General features: G+C 43.1%; 2 long non-coding RNA genes across 4 annotated transcripts in view, besides 1 other annotated feature; one reads left to right on the plus strand and one right to left on the minus strand.

The window, feature by feature from the left end:
* The window catches only part of LOC105370764 (uncharacterized), a 22,830-nt gene extending 15,908 nt beyond the window's left edge, over positions 1 to 6,922 (plus strand). For all 3 annotated transcript variants that reach the window (NR_188212.1, NR_188213.1, NR_188214.1), the window contains 2 exons: positions 4,143 to 4,233; positions 6,480 to 6,922. This is a non-coding gene — a long non-coding RNA (uncharacterized LOC105370764). The remainder of the gene's footprint in view (positions 1 to 4,142; positions 4,234 to 6,479) is intronic.
* The window catches only part of LOC105370763 (uncharacterized), a 13,440-nt gene extending 915 nt beyond the window's left edge, over positions 1 to 12,525 (minus strand). The window contains exons 1-2 of the long non-coding RNA XR_932098.3: positions 10,946 to 12,525; positions 6,193 to 6,277 (exon numbers count right to left, since the gene is read on the minus strand). This is a non-coding gene — a long non-coding RNA (uncharacterized LOC105370763). The remainder of the gene's footprint in view (positions 1 to 6,192; positions 6,278 to 10,945) is intronic.
* Positions 15,865 to 16,557: an enhancer, noted in NCBI's record as "OCT4-NANOG-H3K27ac hESC enhancer chr15:35312331-35313023 (GRCh37/hg19 assembly coordinates)". NCBI's record gives its function as "activates a minimal SCP1, AML or CMV promoter by ChIP-STARR-seq in naive H9 embryonic stem cells {active_cell/tissue: H9 hESC(naive)}" and the evidence as "EXISTENCE:reporter gene assay evidence [ECO:0000049][PMID:30033119]".

Here is a 19,259-nt window from a genome sequence, read left to right on the forward strand (position 1 = left end):
ATGGCAAAAAACTAATGAAGCTGCATTTAAAATTTTAGTTAACAATTTGGTTCATTGTTCAACAAAGTTTGAAAGCGTTTGTCAATAAATCTTGTTTAGTTTTATGTATTCCGCACTGTGCATGGTAACCCATTTCTGGGGTGTGATTATAATATTTTTTTTTTTTTTTTTTGAAACAGAGTCTCAGTCTGTCGCCCAGGCTGGACTGCAGTGGCACAATCTCGGCTCACTGCAACTTCCACCTCACCTCCCGGGTCTAAGTGATTCTCCTGTCTCAGTCCCCGAGTAGCTGGGATTACAAGTGCATGCCACCACGCCCAGCTAATTTTTGTACTTTTAGTAGAGATGGGATTTCACCATGTTGGCCAGATTGGTCTCGAACTCCTGACCTCGTGATCCACCCGCCTCGGCCTCCCAAAGTGCTGGGATTACAGGCGTGAGCCACCGCACCCAGGCAATATTCTTAAAAAGTGATGTGGGCCTGGTGCAGTGGCTCATGCCTGTAATGCCAGCACTTTGGGAGGCTGAGGTGGGCAGATCTCTTGAGGTCAAAAGTTTGAGACCAGCCTGGCCAACATGGTGAAACCCTGTCTCCACTAAAAATACAAGAATGAGCCGAGTGCGGTGGCTCACGCCTGTAATCCCAGCACTTTGGGAGGTCGAGGCAGGTGGATCACAAGGTCAGGAGTTTGAGACCAGCCTGGCCAATATGGTGAAACCCCATCTCTACTAATAAGAAAATGCAAAAAAAAAATTAGCCGGTCGTAGTGGCACATGCCTGTAATCCCAGCTACTCTGGAGGCTGAGGCAGGAGAATTGCTTGAATCCGGGAGACAGAGGTTGCAATGAGCTGAGATCGCACCACTGCACTCCAGCCTGGGTGACAGAGTCAGACTCTGTCTCAAAAAAAAAAAAAAAAAAAATTAGCGGGACATGGTGTGGTGGTGCATGACTGTAAATCCCAGCTACTTGGGAGGCTGAGGCAGGAGAATCACTTGAACGAAGAGGTGGAGGCTCCAAGCCCCATTCTCACACAAGTTCTCCAAGGCTGTTGCATTTACACATGCCCAGGACTGTTGGATGGTGGGTTGTCTACAGAGGATTGGTCCATGGTAATTTACCCTTGATGTTCATTGGACAGATGATGTTTAAAGGCTAAATAAAAGTTAGCCAGGTGGACAAGAAAAGGAAGGACATTCTAAGTGGAGAGAACAGTGTGTGTAAACAGAAGAAAAAGACAGTATAGTGTATGGATTCACAAAATCTTATCTTTCATTCTGAAATCCCAAAAGTTCAAAAAGCTCAAAGCTTTTCTTAACCTATTTGTCAGGAAAACCAGACCCAACTCAATTTGAACTCATGGGTGTGCTGCATTTGTCGGGGACCCATCAGGACACAGTGGCATTCTCAAATTGGGATCACTTGAAGAAGATTTAATAAAGAGATTTTGTATACAGGTGTGGGTGAGGTGCAGAAAAACCATGGGAAGCGGGGCGGGCACTCACACCTGTAATCCCAGCACTCTGGGAGGCCGAGGTGGGCGGATCACTCGAGATCAGGAGTTCAAGAATAGCCTGGCCAATATGGTGAGACCCCGTCCCTACTAAAAATACAAAAATTAGTCAGGCATGATGACAGGGGCCTTAGCTACATGGGAGGCTGAGGCAGGAGAATCGCTTGAACCAGGGAGGCAGAGGTCGCAGTGAGCGGAGATTGCGCCACTGTACTCCAGCTTGGATGACAGACAGCGCAAGACTCTGTCTCAAAAAAGAAAACAAACAAACAAAAAACCACAGGGGATAGTGTTGGCACAAGGGATAGTGGTGTGAAAGTGAGACAGTACCCTAGCACTAGAAAGAACAGAACTGTTATGACTCCTAGATGCAAAGAGATGAGAAGAGGGAGTGCTTCTTAGAACTCAGAAGGAAAGAGTCATGGGAAGATGACTGCCTAAGAGCAACAGTGAGTCTCAGAATGTTCTTCAGGCAAGGGAAATACCCCAACCTTCCTGGGGAGCTTGATGGGCTCCCCGTTGGTTATACCCCATCAGTAGCCTGAGGGCAACAGAGTGCGAAGCTGAAGTCCAGATAGGTCAGTTTCCCGTGGCACAGAGCAGGTGGAAAAGGATAGAAAATAGATCTAGAGGGGCCAAAGGAAGTGGCCCTTGCTAAGTGGAAAACCAGACCTGAACTGACCTAAGGTCATTTGCAAATGTATTCATACTTAATGTGAATATTTAGGTTTCTGGCAGAGATGTTTATGTTTGTAATGATGAATTGATGTCTTAGACCCTGCTAGGTGTTGTGTACTATATGATACAAGCATGGGGTTACTTGTCAAAAACCTGAAAAAAATTATGAATTTGGAAATACCTCTGGCCTCTGGGAGCTTTGCTAAGAGAATATGGGCCTGCATATAGTAAACTGGAGACATTTTTATATGTCTCAAAGATTTTGCACGTGGGGAATGGGGTGGGGAGTTGGCAGCAGTACAATATCGAAGGCAAGAAAGGAGGTGAAAAGGTGCACTGGAGCCACAGCATTAAGGTTTTTATGCCAAGCAAAGAGGATGGACTTGGCTGTAAATGGTGAGGAATTGTAACAAGGGATTTTAAACTGGGATGACATGATTAGACACATGTTTTAGGAAGACCATGCTGGCTGTAATGCGCAGGTTGGACTCTCCTGGGCAACAGAGCACAGGAAGTCCTGGGTTTGGGATTTCTGTCATTCCTGAGCGTGGAGAAAGAGAAGGGGAGGTGGAGAGGTATGAGAGACTGGCCCTAGTGATTCCCATGACTGCACAATGTGACACTTGAATGGATCATGGAGGAAGCAGAGGCAACACATACTAAAGGCAGGGAGAGGACACTCTTTCAGATGTCATCTTCAGCTCTGCTTAGTAAGCTGATTAACAAAGCTTTTGCCAGCATCTGAGATGCATGTCCACCAAGAGATACCGTTCTCTTGCTTCTTGAATCATAGATTTTATTTTTAAGATTAAATAGGATTAAATCTTAATCCTATTTAACCTGCAGATATTAAGCAGCAGGAGTTATCCAGAGACTCAGCAAAAGAATCTGGATTGGTCCCCTAACTCTATGTCATGTTGTTTTCATCATACCACACTGCCATTCGATCAGTGATGTTAAATTAAATGAGCAGGAACCACTAGCTTGAGGCTGTCTCCGTACTTTGAGTTCCTATATACTTAACAAACTGTAACCTAACTTGGTGCAAAACAAATGGAAAGCCTAACTTAGGAGTATATTTTGTAACAGCCAAGCTTCAGCCAATGACAGGCAGCCAAGTGATCAGACCATCCCCAAATAAGGCAGCCACTTAACTGTAGCCAATCAGGTGATTTTTCTACTTTGCTTCTATGTTTGGCCTATAAAAACTTGTTGCTCACACTGCTTTGCTCAAATAAACTCTGCTAAATTTAATTTGTCTCCTTTTTTTTTTGTTTGAGACAGAGTCTCACTCTGTTGCCAGGCTGGAGTACAATGGTGTGATCTTGGCTCACTGCAACCTCTGCCTCCCTCCCGGGTTCAGGTGATTCTCCTTCCTCAGCCTCCCGAGTAGCTGGGATTACAGGTGCCTACACCACCACGCCTGGCTAATGTTTGTATTTTTAGTAGAGATAGGGTTTCACCATGCTGCCCAAGCTGGTCTTGAACTCCTGGCCTCAAGTGATCTGCCTGCTTCAGCCTCCCAAAGTGCTGGGATTACAGGTGTGAACCACCATGCCTGGACTAAAGTTGTTGTTGTTGTTTTTTTTAATGGTGTGAAATATGGTGATAGTTCATATAAATATCTGTGTCAGTTCCTAAAAAGAATATAGAGGAATAAAAGACCAATGCAGTAAGTATTGACTTAACAGTCCTTGGAAGGCATTTTTCTCCCTTCTTCAAGTTTTAATAAAAATAAAACCCTAAAATTCATAGCATCATGGAATAGAAGTCTGGTAAAGCGAGCAGAATAATTTATGCATAATTATAAAATAACTGGTGCATTAAGTGGTTATATGATCTGTCTCATGAGTTAGTTGGTCAAATTTTATACACAGCTTATTTATAATTAATTATTTCTTAATCTCCCTCCAATTGTTTAATGGTTCCCATATGCTTGCTTGTGCTTTAGCTTGTATGCACTTGGTGAATCTTACCTACCACAAACAGAAGTCTGGAAAGTGAAAATTTATTTCCTTTTCACCATGACCAGCCTTGTTCAGGTAATTCTCCAGAGATAACTACTCTTAAGAGGTTTGTATGTACTCTTTTAGACTTTTTCTATTTATATCCACATGCCTGTATGTTATAGACCTTCAAAAACAAATGTTATTGCGTGCTTTTTCTATAAAAATGGTGTAATGCTATGATAATTTTTTTTTTTTTTTTTAAAGATAGAGTCTCACTCTGTGGCCCAGGCTGGAGTGCAGTGGCACAACCTAGGCTCACTGCAACCTCTGCCTCCCAGGTTCAAGTGATTCTCCTGCCTCAGCCTCCCGAGTAGCTGGAATTACAGGCACCCACCACCACACCTGGTTAATTTTTGTATTTTTAGTTGAGACAGGGTTTCACCATGTTGGCCAGGCTGTTCTCCAACTCCTGACTTCAAGTGATCCGCTCACCTCGGCCTCCCAAAGTGCTGAAATTACAGGCGTGAGCCACCATGCCTGGCCTTTCTTTTTTATTTTTATTTATTTATTTATTTTTGAGACGGAGTTGTTGCCCAGGCTGGAGTGCAATGGTGAGATCTTGGCTCACTGCAACCTCTGCCTCCTGGGTTCAAGCGATTCTCCTGTCTCAGCATCCCAAGTAGCTGGGATTACAGGCGTGCACCACCATGCCCTGCTAATTTTGTATTTTTAGTAGAGATGGGGTTTCACCATGTTGGTCAGGCTGGTCTTGAACTCCCGACCTCAGATGATATGCCCGCCTTGGCCTCCCAAAGTGCTGGGATTACAGGTGTGAGCCACCGTACCTGGCCTTGTTTTTTTTTTTTTTTTTTTGCGATGGAGTTTCACTCTGTCACCCAGGCTGGAGTGCAGTGGCACCATCTCAGCTCACTGCAACCTCCACCCTCCGGGTTCAAATGATTCTCCTTCCTCAGCCTCCTGAGTAGCTGGGACTACAGGCGCCTGCCACCGTGCCCGGCTAATTTTTTGTATTTTTAGTAGAGATGGGGTTTCACCATCTTGGCCAAGCTGGTCTTGAACTCCTGACCTCGTGATCCACCCACCTCAGCCTCCCAAAGTGCTGGGATTACAGGCGTGAGCCACTGCACCCAGCCCGGTTTTTTTTTTTAATTTTTTAATTTTTAAAAATTTAAGCCATCAGTTATTAATTTTCTAAATTTAAGGAGAATGTTCTTTTTCACTTAATAATATGTTACATATATATTTTTCGGGTATGTTACATACATATTTTAATGTGTATGTATGTATGTATACAATTTTAATATGTATGTATGTATTACATATAATAATATGTTACATACACACTTTTACATATTTTTCAGGGAAGTATGTATAGATTGACCTTATTTATTTTTATTTTTTATTTTTTAGAGACAGGGTCTTGCTCTGTCACCCAACTCAGAGTCTGGTGACACAGTCATAGCTCACTGTAACCTCAAACTCCTGGGTCCTTCCGCCTTGGCCTCCCAAGCACTAGGATTACAGATGTGAGATGCTGTGCTCAGCCCTTATTTGTTTTAATGATTGGGTTCCATTGATTGCATGGATGTTCTTTAATTTTAGCCATTCCTTTACTGATGGGTAAATAGATTCCTTTTACGTTTTTTTTTAAATGGCAAATGATCATTCAAATTAACATTCTTGTGCTACTTTCTTTTTTTTTTTTTTTTTTTTGAGACGGAGTCTTGCTTTGTCACCCAGGCTGGAGTGCAGTGGCGCCATCTTGGCTCACTGCAACCTCCGCCTCCCGGGTTAATGCCATTCTCCTGCCTCACCCTCCCGAGCAGCTGGGACTACAGGCGCCCACCACCATGCCCAGCTAATTTTTTGTATTTTTAGTAGAGATGGGGTTTCACTGTGTTAGCCAGGATGATCTCGATCTCCTGACCTTGTGATCCACCCGCCTCGGCCTCCCAAAGTGCTGGGATTACAGGCGTGAGCCACCGTGCCCAGCTCTTGTGCTACTTTCTATTAGTACTTACAGAAACTTACTCTCTAAGGTCCTTGGCTAAGGTTACATTTTGCAGGAACGAATATCTTTTTTCACTTAAACCAAAAAGAAGTCATTCATGTTAACCTATAAATACAGCAACAAAAGCATCTTATTAATTTTTATGCAAATTATGAAAGTAACCAAGGGGGTTCAGACCCAATCAAAACCATAAATATCTTGCTATTTTCACCTTTAGCTCACCAGTCTCAATGTCTTAAGCTAGGTCATTCTGGTGATTACTTTTAAATTTCTTTGATCTTCATTGGATCATATCTTTTCTCCTAAGAACATCTGAGAGGCACAGACCTGAGAAAGAATCCCCAGGCTGAAGAGGTAGAAGTTGGCAGAAGTTAAAAGCAATGTCTCCACAATGGAGAAGTGACATGCTAAAGGAACCTGGCATCTAGACATTTCCTAACCCCCAATCCCTCCTTACATATGACCTGCTCTTAGAGGAGTACAGCGTGGTGGTTAGGAGTGTGGACTCGGCAGCCAGAAATCCTGGGATCTGTTGCTTGTTAGCTGTGGGCCTTAAGCTAAGAACTTAACCTCTCTGTGCCTCAGTTGCTCCATCTGTTCAAATGAAGATAATGATAATGAAGATGATATCACCTGCTGTGTAGGATTGTTATGAAAAATCAAGAATTAATATTTGTAAATCACTTACAGGGTCTGGCACATAATAAGTGCTGTGTGGGTGTTTGTTAAATAAAATAATATACAATGACATAGGCATTGTGGTTGTTCTTCCTAGTCTCCTAAAGAAGCAGTTGTTTCTGAAACCTTCCCAAACTCAAATATAGCTGAAGTTGCTCAAAATATCATGTGAAAATCCCTCCTCTTCACCAGCCCCTCCACTGTAGAGGCTTCTTTGTGCTCACAGAAGCCCTATATTTCAGTGGTCTGTTCTGGATGTCTAAACTTCTCATAAGAAGTGATATTTTATGGGGCCCGGTGCAGTGGCTCACGCCTGTAATCTTAGCACTTTGGGAAGCCGAGGCAGGTGGATCATTTGAGGTCAGGAGTTAGAGACCAGTCTGACCAAGATGGTGAAACTCCGTCTCTACTAAATACAAAAAAAACAGACAGGAGTGGTGGCACATGCCTGTAATCCCAGCTATTTGGGAGGCTGAGGCAGAAGAATCGCTTGAATCCTGAAGGCAGAGGTTGCAATGAGCCAAGATCGCACCATTGCACTCCAGCCTGGGCAACAGAGCCAGAGCAAAACTGTCTCAAAAAAGCAAACAAAAAAAAGATAAAGAAGAGGTGATATTTTATTTACGTTAAAAAAAAATGGACAGATACTAGGTGTCTGATTCCCAGACAGTTGTTAGCACATTCTTTGTGTTCAACAAAACATTCTAATAAGAAGAGAAGATTTGTAAAAACACATAGAAGAAATTGATTAACAAACATAAGTACAGTGAAAATTATCTGGATTCTGGCTGGGCACGGTGGCCCGCACCTGTAATCCCAGCACTTTGGGAGGCCGAGGTGAGTGGATCACTTGAGGTCAGGAGACCAGCCTGACCAACATGGTGAAACCCCATCTCTACTAAAAATACAAAATTAGCCGGGCATGGTAGTGAATGCCTGTAATCCCAGCTACTTGGGAGGCTGAGGCAGGAGAATCACTTGAACCTAGGAGGCGGAGGTTGCAATGAGGCAAGATTGCACCACTGCACTCCAGTCTGGGCATCAAGAGAGAAACTCTGTCAAAAAGAAGAAAGAAAGAAAGAAATTGATTAGGAAACACAAGTGCAATGAAAATTATCGGGATTTTGGCCGGACATGTGGCTCATGCCTGTAATCCCAGCACTTTGGGAGGCCAAGGTGGGTGGGTCACCTGAGGTCAGGAGCTCAAGACCAGGCTGGGCAACATGGCAAAACCCCGTCTCTACTAAAAATACAAAAATTAGCCAGGTGTGGTGGCAGGTGCCTGTAATATGGGAGGCTGAGACCCAAGAATCGCTTGAACCCGGGAGGCAGAAGTTGCAGTGAGCCAAGATCACACCATTGCACTTCAGCCTGGGTGACAGAGCAAGGCTCCATCTCAAAAAAAAAAAAAGAAAATTATCTGGATTCTCAGGAAATGTTTGATTTGCTGAACATAAGAGAAAATTTTAGGAATAGAAAATAAGAGAAAATTCATTGACAGTATATATTTATATCCTATATTTTCAAATGTTAATATTATAACTGTCAGAAATAATGCCACATTTTATTTATTGAAGAGCTGATTATCCAGATCTGAGATTTTACATATCTTTTTTTTCTTTTTTCTTTTTATTTTTATTTGATACGGAATCTCGCTCTGTTGCCAGTCTGGAGTGCAGTGGCACAATCTCAGCTCACTGCAACCTCTGCCTCCTGGGTTCAAGCGATTCTCCTGCCTCAGACTCCTGAGTAGCTGGGATTACAGGTGCGTGCCACCACGCCCAGCTAATTTTTGAATTTTTAGTAGAGATGGGGTTTCACCATGTTGGCCAGGATGGTCTTGATCTTGTGACCTCGTGATCTGCCCGCCTCATCCTCCCAAAGCGCTGGGATTACAGGCATGAGCCACTGCGCCCGGCTGAGATTTTACATTTTTTTTTTTTTTTTGAGACGGAGTCTCACTCTATCACCCAGGCTGGAGTGCAGTGGCACGATCTCGGCTCACTGCAACCTCTGTCTCTTGGGTTCAAGAGATTCTTCTGCCTCAACCTGCCGAGTAGCAGGGATTATAGTTGCCGGCCACCACACCAGGCTAATTGTTGTATTTTTAGTAGAGACAGTGTTTCACAATGTTGGTCAGGCTGGTCTCAAACTCCTGACCTTGTGATCCACCTGCCTTGGTCTCCCAAAGTGCTGGGATTACAGGCGTGAGCCACCGCACCCGGCCTTACATATCTTTTATTACTATTTTCTTCCTACACCATCCCCGCAATCTCCTGTATTTTTATCAATTACAAAGCACGTGGAGTCAGGTGTGAAATTTTTTTCTCTAAATATGGTTAGACTTCTAAGGCAAACCGTATGGTTCCTGACTTCCTCTAAAGGAGGACTAATGGGTCACTCCATCTGGGGGGCATCCCCATTCTCTGGAGTATTTTGACTATAGCCTTGAGTTAAACACGTGGTTTGGTTGGCTGTACATCATGATTTAATTTCACAAGAATCTTGCATGTCTCATTTCCTCATACTATCACTAAAAAGATTTGAGGGGTTGACACTGGCTTTCAACCTCAGCTTCAGCACAGAATCCAAATTGTAGGAGTTAGGGAGTATATTATGGTCTAAATGTTTGTGTTACCCCCTTCTCCATTCATATGTTGAAATCCCAACCTTCAAGGTGATGGTGTTGGGAAGTGGAGCGTTTGGGAAGCTATTAGGACATGAGGGCAGAGTTTAGTGTCCTTATAAAAGAGGCCCAAGAGAGACAAGTCCTTGCGTCTTCTACCATGTGAAGACTTAGCCAGATGGCACCTTCTATGAACAAGAAAGCAGGTGCTCACCAGAAACAGCACCTGCTGGTATGTTGATCTTGGACTTCACTGCCTTTAGAATTGTGAGAAATACATTTCTTTTGTTTATAAGCCACCCAGTTTATGGTATTTTATTACAGCAGCCCAAACCAGCTAAGATGGGGAATTTCGATGCTGAAAGAGGGAGGGAAAATTAGAATGCTGTGGCTAGCCACTGATGAACCCATGGACAGTTAGCTTTCAAACTTTTAGACTATGATTAATATACTAAGAAAAGACACTACAGCAGATACAACTGTAGCCAACTTACAGTTGGGTATTTTATGTATTTGTTTGTTTCTTTTATTTCTCACCTTGTTCCAGAATGTGAAGCAAAGCTATCTTATTATTTCTCTTCCAGGACAGCATCAGGAAAATATGAAGCTCTTGTTTCTTTTCTTTCTCCTTGGCCTGCAAAGGCCTGTGTTTAGCTCTGTAATAATTTCTTTTCAAACTTGAGTTGCTCAGGCAACTACACTCTTTGCTCTCTAACTTGACCCCATTTCCTGATGAATGGTCTTTTCATTTCTTTGCTAAGACCTAAAGGTTTTTACATTCTGCAATTTTCTCTGCTAAATAGCTCTAGGCATTACTGCTTATAAAATCATAGACAATCATAAAACCTTAGATTTGGAAGGAACCTTGGAGACCATCTAATCCTACCCCCTCATTTTACAGTTAAAGAAATTGAGTTCTCAAGAGGGTAAATAACTTGTTCAGAGTCATCCAGCTAATTTGTAGACTGGGTAGTATTTTCCCAAGCTAATTTTTTGACTTGAATAGAACTACAACTGAAACCATTTTAAAGAGCACATACTTTTACATCTTGATCCTTTTGAAATATAATAATATAATTTACAGAACCAAATTTATAAAATCACCACTTTTAATCCTGAAAAACACTGTGATGTAAGAAATGGCTAAATGAGGTTCGTTATTTACATGCTTTTTAATAGGCCATGTATTAAAACTCTGGTCTCAGATTTACTAGTTAATTGAAGGTTGGCTAAATCAACCTAAAGAGATTGCTTTGCTTTACCTAATGACTTCTATGGTGGAGGGCAGGGGCAGTTGAAAGAAAATGGACCAACACAAACAGAGAGACATAATGTCAGCATGGGAATGAGGTTAGGCTCAATAATCTACTGTCATTATTATTACTGTTAATATAATATCATACTTTGTGTGCATAACATCATGACTCTAGCTTGGCAGTATGAAGTCCAGATAAGAAATTATAAGTTACCTTTGTGTCCAGAATTTTAATCTAGCTAGAGCCAAAGATGAGTCATCCTCTTTTTACTGCGCACTCGCTTCAGACAGAGGGGTCCTCCTATGTGGCCACAGGTAACTCATAGAACCTTTGAAGAGCCACTTTTCTTGACTGCTCTATATCTCTCTTTGCAAAATTGTGTATCTCACAAGTAGGCTCATTCTCAACATTTGTGAGCTTAATGGGAATGTGCCAATGGATATTTCTCACCCTGCTCCAATGGAACACCCACCCTTCTGTCCATACTGACCTCACAGAGACTTGTAAGTGCTCAGACTCTACCCCACATATCCAAGCTCTATCCACAACTCCAAACACCATACACAGCTGCCCCTTGACCACATTTTGGGCAGTATAATCCACCCCTAAAAAGACAAGAGAAGGGCAGAAGCTCAAGCAACCCCTGGAAGCAGGTTCAGACTTCACAGCAAGGGAACTATGGGTTTCCTGAGTAAGGGGAACTTTATTTAGAAGAGGGAAGGAGGTTCCAGGTGGAACAATCCCCTTGGCCATACAGACCTATTACTCTGTGGGGAGAGTGGGTACCAGAGGGGATCCAGAGTAGGGTCCTCTGAAGCACAGAACCCAGGAAAGAAATCTCAGTCAAGTTGACTGGATCAAAAGCAGTGCTGGTGACAAGAAAACTGTGGGACGAGGCCCTCCTACAGGTGTTGTCTCTTGGGTTGGACCTATATAAGGAATGGAAGCAAAGATGTTTGATGAACAGAGAGAAGCCACCTCAAACAAGTTATTTTTTTAAATTGGGAAGGTTCAGAGATGTTCTAAAAGAGCATCTAAGGAACAAGTCTGTTTAAAATTATTTCATGTCAGAAATAGAAGGAATCCTCAAAATCCTCTAATAAAGATGGAATGTGATCACAGAGACAAGAAACTTGTCCAAGGTCAGACTGAAGTTAGTAACAGAGCTCAGCCCCAAAACTTGGAACTTGGGCTTCTAGGTCCTCAGGCCTGAGTCTTTCCTTAAAGTGGTGCTGTATTCCTTTGAAGTATAGCTTTAAGCAACATGAAAGAAGGACGGTCATAGGGTAGTTCTTATTCTGTAAGTATATCTTTTCACCTATGTGATCAAGCACAGCTACAAATACCAACAATTTCTACTGAAAATCAAAGACCAATCAGCCTGCGTGTGTGTGTGTGAGAGAGAGACAGACAGACAGAGAGAGAGAGAGAGAGAGAGAGAGAGAGAGAGAGACAGAGGGAGAGAGAGAGACTGGAAATCAAGTAAAGAAAGGGAAGCACTAAAATGTAAATGCTGGGGCTGATGTCTTGATGAATATGCCAAGCACTGGAGAAACTTTATTTTGTTTTATGAATCAAACCAGGAAGGGATATTATCAGTATAAGGTGTTTCAGTTGGGGAAGTTGGTGCAATGAGAAGAGGCAGAAATGAAGATGGGAGTTACAGGGGTTCCTCACTCCCACTTACCCCAACTTTGGGACCACATACATACTCCACTCATATTCTCCCACATTGTTGGTAATGCTTGCTTTTATTATTTATTTATTTATTTGAGACAGAGTTTCACTCTTGTTGCCCAGGCTGGAGTGCAGTGGTGCAGTCTCAGCTCACTGCAACCTCTGCCTCCCAGGTTCAAGCGATTTTCCTGCCTCAGCCTCCCAGGTAGCTGAGATTACAGGTACATGCCACTATGCCTGCCTTATTTTTGTAGTGTTTTTTTTTTTTTTTTTTAGTAGAGATGGGGTTTCACCATGTTGGTCAGGCTAGTCTCAAATGCCTGACCTCAGGTGACCCACCTGCCTCTGCCTCCCAAAGTGTTGGGATTACAGGCATGAGCCACTGCACCCAGCCAATGCTTACTTTTAAAATAAAGGCCAGGGCCAGGTGCGGTGGCTCATGACTGTAATCCCAGCACTTTGGGAGGCTGAGGTGGGCGGATCACCTGAGATCAGGAGTTTGAGACCAGACTGGCCAACATGGTGAAACCCCATCTCTACTAAAAATACAAAAATTAGCTGCGGATGGTGGTGCAGCCTGTAATCCCAGCTATGTGGGAGGCTGAGACAGGAGAATTGCTTGAACCCAGGAGGCGGAGGTTGCAGTGAATCGAGATCATGCCACTGCACTCCTGCCTGGGTGACAGAGCGAGACTCCATCTCAAAAAAATGAATAAATAAATAAATAAATAAATAAAATAAAGGCCAGGAAATAAAATGTATTGAAGTGGCAAATATGCTCTAAGCATTGATTAATAGTGTTACAACAAATTAATATTTGTGGTCTATGAAAAAGGGAATTAGACTGTAGTATAGAATTTGTATTCCAGTTCCAGCCCTGCAGCAAGCCCTTTAACCTCTTTAAGTCAGTTTTCCCAAAGATAAAGTGTAAACAAGAAACTTAGCTCTTAATATTTATGGCAGAAAAAATGAAAAAAAAAAAACCTCAAAAGTCCAACAACAGGGAAATAAATTATAGAATATTTATATGCTAGAGTATTGTTAACAATAAAAATTTAGTTTTGAAAATTGTTAGCAATATACTAAAGATTCACAATATAATATTGTGAAAAAACATGATTTAGAAACAGTCTATTGAATTATGCAAATTTTACTAAATATTCTTTCAAGCATATAAAATACTTGAAAGAAATAAATCAAAATGTTAATTTTATTATTTCATGGTGGTGATTAGAGATGGTTTAACTTTTCTTCTTTACATAGTATATTTGTTATTTTCTGAATTGTGTTTAATGAACATATACCAATTTTACCATCAGAAAAGATGTTGTTTTTAATAAAACAATGTGCTTTAGCTTAGTTTATAAGGATATTTAGAGGAAAATGGAAACAAGTTTGAATACTCTCGATTCTGACAAAAATGTGCTAAGCAATCCCAGTACTTATGTTAAAGGGAATTTTTTTTTTTAATTTTTAATTTTTTTTTTTTTTGAGATGGAGTCTCACTCTGTCGCCCAGGCTAGAGTGCAGGGGCATGATCTCGGCTCACTGCAACCTCTGCCTCCCAGGTTCAAGTGATTCTCCTGCCTCAGGCTCCCAAGTAGCTGGGATTACAGGCATGCACCACCATGCCCAGCTAATTTTTGTATTTTTAGTAGAGACGGGGTTTCACCACGTTGTCCAGGCTGGTCATGAACTCCTGAGCTCAGGCAATCCACCCGCCTCAGCCTACCAAAATGCTGGGATTACAGGCGTGAGCCACTGCACCCAGCGTTTAAAGGGAATTCTGATGTTTGTTTCCATAGACAGTTTTTTTCTTAGTAAGGAATGGATGTAGGCACGGTGCGGTAGCTCACGCCTGTAATCCCAGCTCTTTGGAAAGCAGAGGTGGGCGGATCCCGAGGTCAGGAGATGGAGACCATCCTGGTTAACACGGTGAAACCCCGTCTCTACTAAAAGTACAAAAAAATTAGCCGGGCGTGGTGGTCGGCGCCTGTAGTCCCAGCTACTCGGGAGGCTGAGGCAGGAGAATGGAATGAACCTGGGAGGCGGAGCTTGCAGTGAGCCGAGATCGCGCCACTGCACTCCAGCCTGGGCGACAGAGCGAGACTCCGTCTCAAAATAAAAAATAAAAAAATAAATAAATAAAAGAATGGATGTGCTTGGAAGTGATCCCCCCAATCATTAGGGGAACACAGTGTATGTGCCACCACTACCTTAGAACTATTTCTGTGTGCTGAGCCTGGTGTTCAAGAAAAAGTCAAATTGACCCTCATCAGCCTACAGCAACTTTATCCATTCACTAGGAGGGATGACCAGCTCCTTGGGAAGATTTTTGTGCCTGAGGTGGGGCCTCAGACAGGGGTGGGAAATGTTTAAACAGACTCCTTTTCCCATGGCTTCAATTTCAGTCCCTCTTCTCAGCAGGGAGTGACCACTGTCTCTGTCATTCCCCACAGAAGCTGCTTATAAGATGAAAAAAGGTTAAAATACAAGTTCTTGGGAAATAAAAGCAGAGGGCAAGTAGGGCTGCAGGGGGAGCTAGTACCAGAATTGAGCTTGGCATCCTGGGAAGGTGAGGTCAGGTAAGATAGGGACTACTACTATTATAGACTACTGGGTCAAGTACTAGCTATTAATGATCTCATTTAACCCTTTAATAATATGAAGTTAGCCGTGTTATATCTTCCTCCCCGCCCCCGCCCCGCCCCCCCCCCCCCCCCCCGCTCCTCCTCCAACTGGAGTAACTGAAGCTCAGGTAAAACAAAACAAAATGAAACAAAAAACCATTTGCCAGGTTATTTCTTCCTCCCCTTCCTCCTCCTCCCCCTCCCTCCTCCTCCTCCCCCTCCCTCCTCCTCCTCCTTCTTCTCCTCCTCCTCCTTCTCCTCCTCCTTCTTCTCCTGCTCCTCCTCCTGCTCCTCCTCCTGCTCCTCCTCCTCCTCCTCCAACTGGAGTAACTGAAGCTCAGGCAAAACAAAACAAAATGAAACAAAAAACCACTTGCCAAGATCACACAGGTAAATGCTGGAGCCAGAGTTTGAATTGAGGTTTTAGTGGCTCTGAAATGTGTACTTTTTACAACAGAGTCTGGTGAGCCCCAGAGTTGTTTAATACCAGATTCACCCAGAAAGAAATTTGAAAATACAAATTCCAAAATTCCATCCCTAGAAATTCTGATTTTAATTATGTCAGGAATGGGACCAAGGAATCTGTAAGGCGTTAAGGAGGTTCGAGGACTGCAGCTCTCTTCCACATTGCTGCTCCCACATCAGCAATTAGTCAAGATGTGCTCTTGTGCATGGGCCTGAAGACTCAGCCCAGTGAGTGAGCTATGTGTGAACTTCACACTCTTGGCCCCTGCCAGTTCCTCAGCCTCATATCTCCCTCCCACCAAGTCAGAATTTGGGAAAGCCAGCCAGTCAGGAAGAGTGCTAAAACAAAAAATATAAATACAATGAGATAGAAATAATGAAGCTTCGACAAGGTGAGGTGGCTCACACCTGTAATCCCAACACTTTGGGAAGCCGAAGTGGGCAGATCACGAGGTCAGGGGTTCAAGACCAGCCTGGCCAACATAGTGAAACCCCATCTCTACTAAAAATACAAAAAAATTAGCCAGGGGTGGTAGCGGGTGCCTGTAATCTCAGCTACTTGGGAGGTTAAGGCAAGGAGAATCACTTGAACCTGGGAGGCAGAGGTTGCAGTGAGCCGAGATTGCGCCACTGCACTCCAGCCCGGGTGACAGTGTGAGACTCCGTCTCAGAAAAAAAAAAAAAGAAGAAGAAGCTTCTTAGGGTGGTGACTGGGAGGAGGGGACAAGCACCCCATGGAGTTGCTTCAGTCACAATCAATGGTCATTTAACTGCGTCTAAGGAGGTCAGGTCTTAGGTGCAGGCCTTTTGTTTGGCTGATTTGCTTTGCAGATTTGGGTCCAAGGCATGCAAATGTCCCTGTTTAGGATCACAAAGGAGTCACTGGGGAGCCACCAGCATTCTCTCCACTACATTTCACATCTTCTCCAGACTTAATAAACCTTTCCTTTAAATAAATATTTTTAAGATATGTCAAAAAGAGCCGGGCGCGGTGGCTCACACCTGTAATCCCAGCACTTTGGGAGGCTGAGGCGGGTGGATCACAAGGTCAGGAGATCGAGACCATCCTGGCTAATACGGTGAAACCCCGTCTCTACTAAAAAAATACAAAAAATTAGCCAGGCGTGGTGGCGGGTGCCTGTAGTCCCAGCTACTCGGGAGGCTGAGGCAGGAGAATGGCTTGAACCTGGGAGGCGGGAGGCAGAGCTTGCAGTGAGCGGAGATCGTGCCTCTGCTCTCCAGCCTGGGTGTTAGAGCGAGACTCCATCTCAAAAAAAAAAAAAAAAGATATGTCAAAAAGATTAGTTTGAAGAGGCACAAAATTACTGACCTGTCTCATGCATCCCTGCATTTTAGTTCTGCTCTGTCTCATCCCATCCCCGCATTACCTCTGTTCTCCTCCAGGCCTTTGCACACCATTCCCACCACCTGGAACACTCTTCTGCCTGCTCGCTCTCTCTACACCTATCTATCTCATTCTTATTCATCTTTTAGGTCTAGGCTTAAACATTGCTTTCTCTGGGAGCCTTCCTCAACATAGAGGTTAGAGACTCTTAGTGTATGTTCTGACACCTATCACCACACTCATCAGATTTCATCGTCATTACATATTTAATTATCTGTTTCCCCCTAAACTGTGAGCTCTCTGAAGACAGGACTTTTGTTGTTTTGTCCATCACTGTTTCTTCATAGCTAGTCCAACGTTCATGAAATCTGTACTGAGTGATTGAATGAGCCGAGAGTCTGAGGCTATGTACATAGTGAGCCCCTTACTTAGAAGGATTAAAAGTTGGGACTGGAACTGTGATCAGTTCATAGGAACTCCAGTGTATAGATTCTCTAACTTTACCAAAGCTCAACCTTATCCAGATTATGGTGCCAAGAATCCTGGGATGCAAATCAGAAATATAAGATCCAGCGAAGTTGTGTAACCTTTTGCCAGTTGTTTAACCTCTTCAACCACTCCCAGCTTTTCTGAGTAGCAAACTGTAGGAAAGTACAGTGCTTTGAAACAATACAAATATGAGTCTCCTTTTGTGGAGACATAGAAGAGATGTGTCATCTTTAAAGGGACCACTTTCTGGTTTCCATTTTTCCCACCTCAAGCCATACCTCTGGGAGGGTAAGCACAGTCAGTACAGTGGAGGCTCTCATCAACGCCACTCACCACTGCCATTATCTGGCTGATTAATACAGTTTGTGTTATTGCAAAGGAAAGGGGAGGAGGAGAGAGAACAACGTGGCAGCATTTGTGGTATAAGAATGTGGTAGATCTGTCAAAAACACTTTCCAGATTCCTCATTCTCTAGGGGACAATTTTTCTGCTGGTATTTTGAGATCTCAAAATTAAATACCTGTGCCAGAACTGCCATCTCTAAGGTGACAATACTAGAAATCTCCCTCGGCTTCTTAACATGAGAGGTTTTAAATATTAGCTGCCTTAATGAAGTACCATATGGATAACATTTTAGGACAGGCAGTCAAATTGTGACAAAAAAAAAAAAACAAAAAATGATTAACTGCAAAAGCAAGAAAAAGAATTTGAAGTAGGGTTGCCAGATTTAGCAAGTAAAAATATTTGAGAAATAATTGCACTAAAAAAGTATTAATTGTTGGCCAGGCACGGTGGCTCACGCCTGTAATCTCAGCACTTTGGGAGGCCAAGGCAGGCGGATCACCTGAGGCCAGGAGTTCAACACCAGCCTGGCCAACATGGTGAAACCCCATCTCTACTAAAAATACAAAATTAGCCGGATGTGGTGGCAGGCCCCTGTAATCCCAGCTACTTGGGAGGCTGAGGCAGGAGAATCGCTTGAACCGTGTGTGGCTGGTATTTCTTTAATGTTATCAAATACCTAATGAGGGTTCAAGTTTCTGATTGTCTAAAAAAATTTTAAAAGTTTTTGCTTTTTAAAAAAATCACAAACCAAATAAAGTCCCTTTGTTTGTAATTTGTTCATAAGTTTCTCCTTCCTTCCTCTCTCTCTCTTTTCCCTTGCAAGCTATATGTTGAAGAAATTCGGTTGTCCAGTTGAGTCTCTTACATTCTGGATTTTTCTGATTGTATCCTCTGCGTATTTGTATCTCTTATAAACTGTTAGCTGGATTTAGAGATTTAGTCTGATTCAGTTTAAAATTTTTTGCAAGAATACCTTCAGGTGGTGGTGTGTACTTCCATCAGGAGGCATATAATATCTAGTGGTCTCTCTTTTTGTGATATTAGCAGCCACTGATGATCATTGCCTAGAGTATGTAATTAGAAATTTGCAAAGTGGTCTTATTCTTTTTTTTTTTTTTTGACACGGAGTCTCTCTCTGTCGCCCAGGCTGGAATGCAGTGGCATGATCTCGGCTCACTGCAACCTCTGCCTCCTGGGTTCAAATGATTCTCCTGCCTCAGCCTCCTGAGTAGCTGGGACTACAGGTGCATGTCACCACTGCTAGCCAATTTTTTATAGTTTTAGTAGAGACGGGGTTTCACTGTGTTAGCCAGTATGGTCTTGATCTCCTGACCTCATGATCCACCCACCTCGGCCTCCAAAAGTGCTGGGATTACAGGTGTGAGCCAGCCACCGCACCCGGCCAGTGGTGTTATTCTTATATCGTTGTTTCTCTATTTATTCTTTTTCCTTCGTGTGTGTGTGTGTGTGTGTTTAGTAGAGACAGGGTTTTGCTATGTTGCCAGGCTGGTCTTGAACTCCTGGCCTCAACTGAGCCGCCCGCCTTGGCCTCCAAAGTGCTGGGATTACAGGCATG

Source organism: Homo sapiens, chromosome 15 (assembly GCF_000001405.40).
Source record: "Homo sapiens chromosome 15, GRCh38.p14 Primary Assembly".
Lineage (NCBI taxonomy): Eukaryota > Metazoa > Chordata > Mammalia > Primates > Hominidae > Homo > Homo sapiens.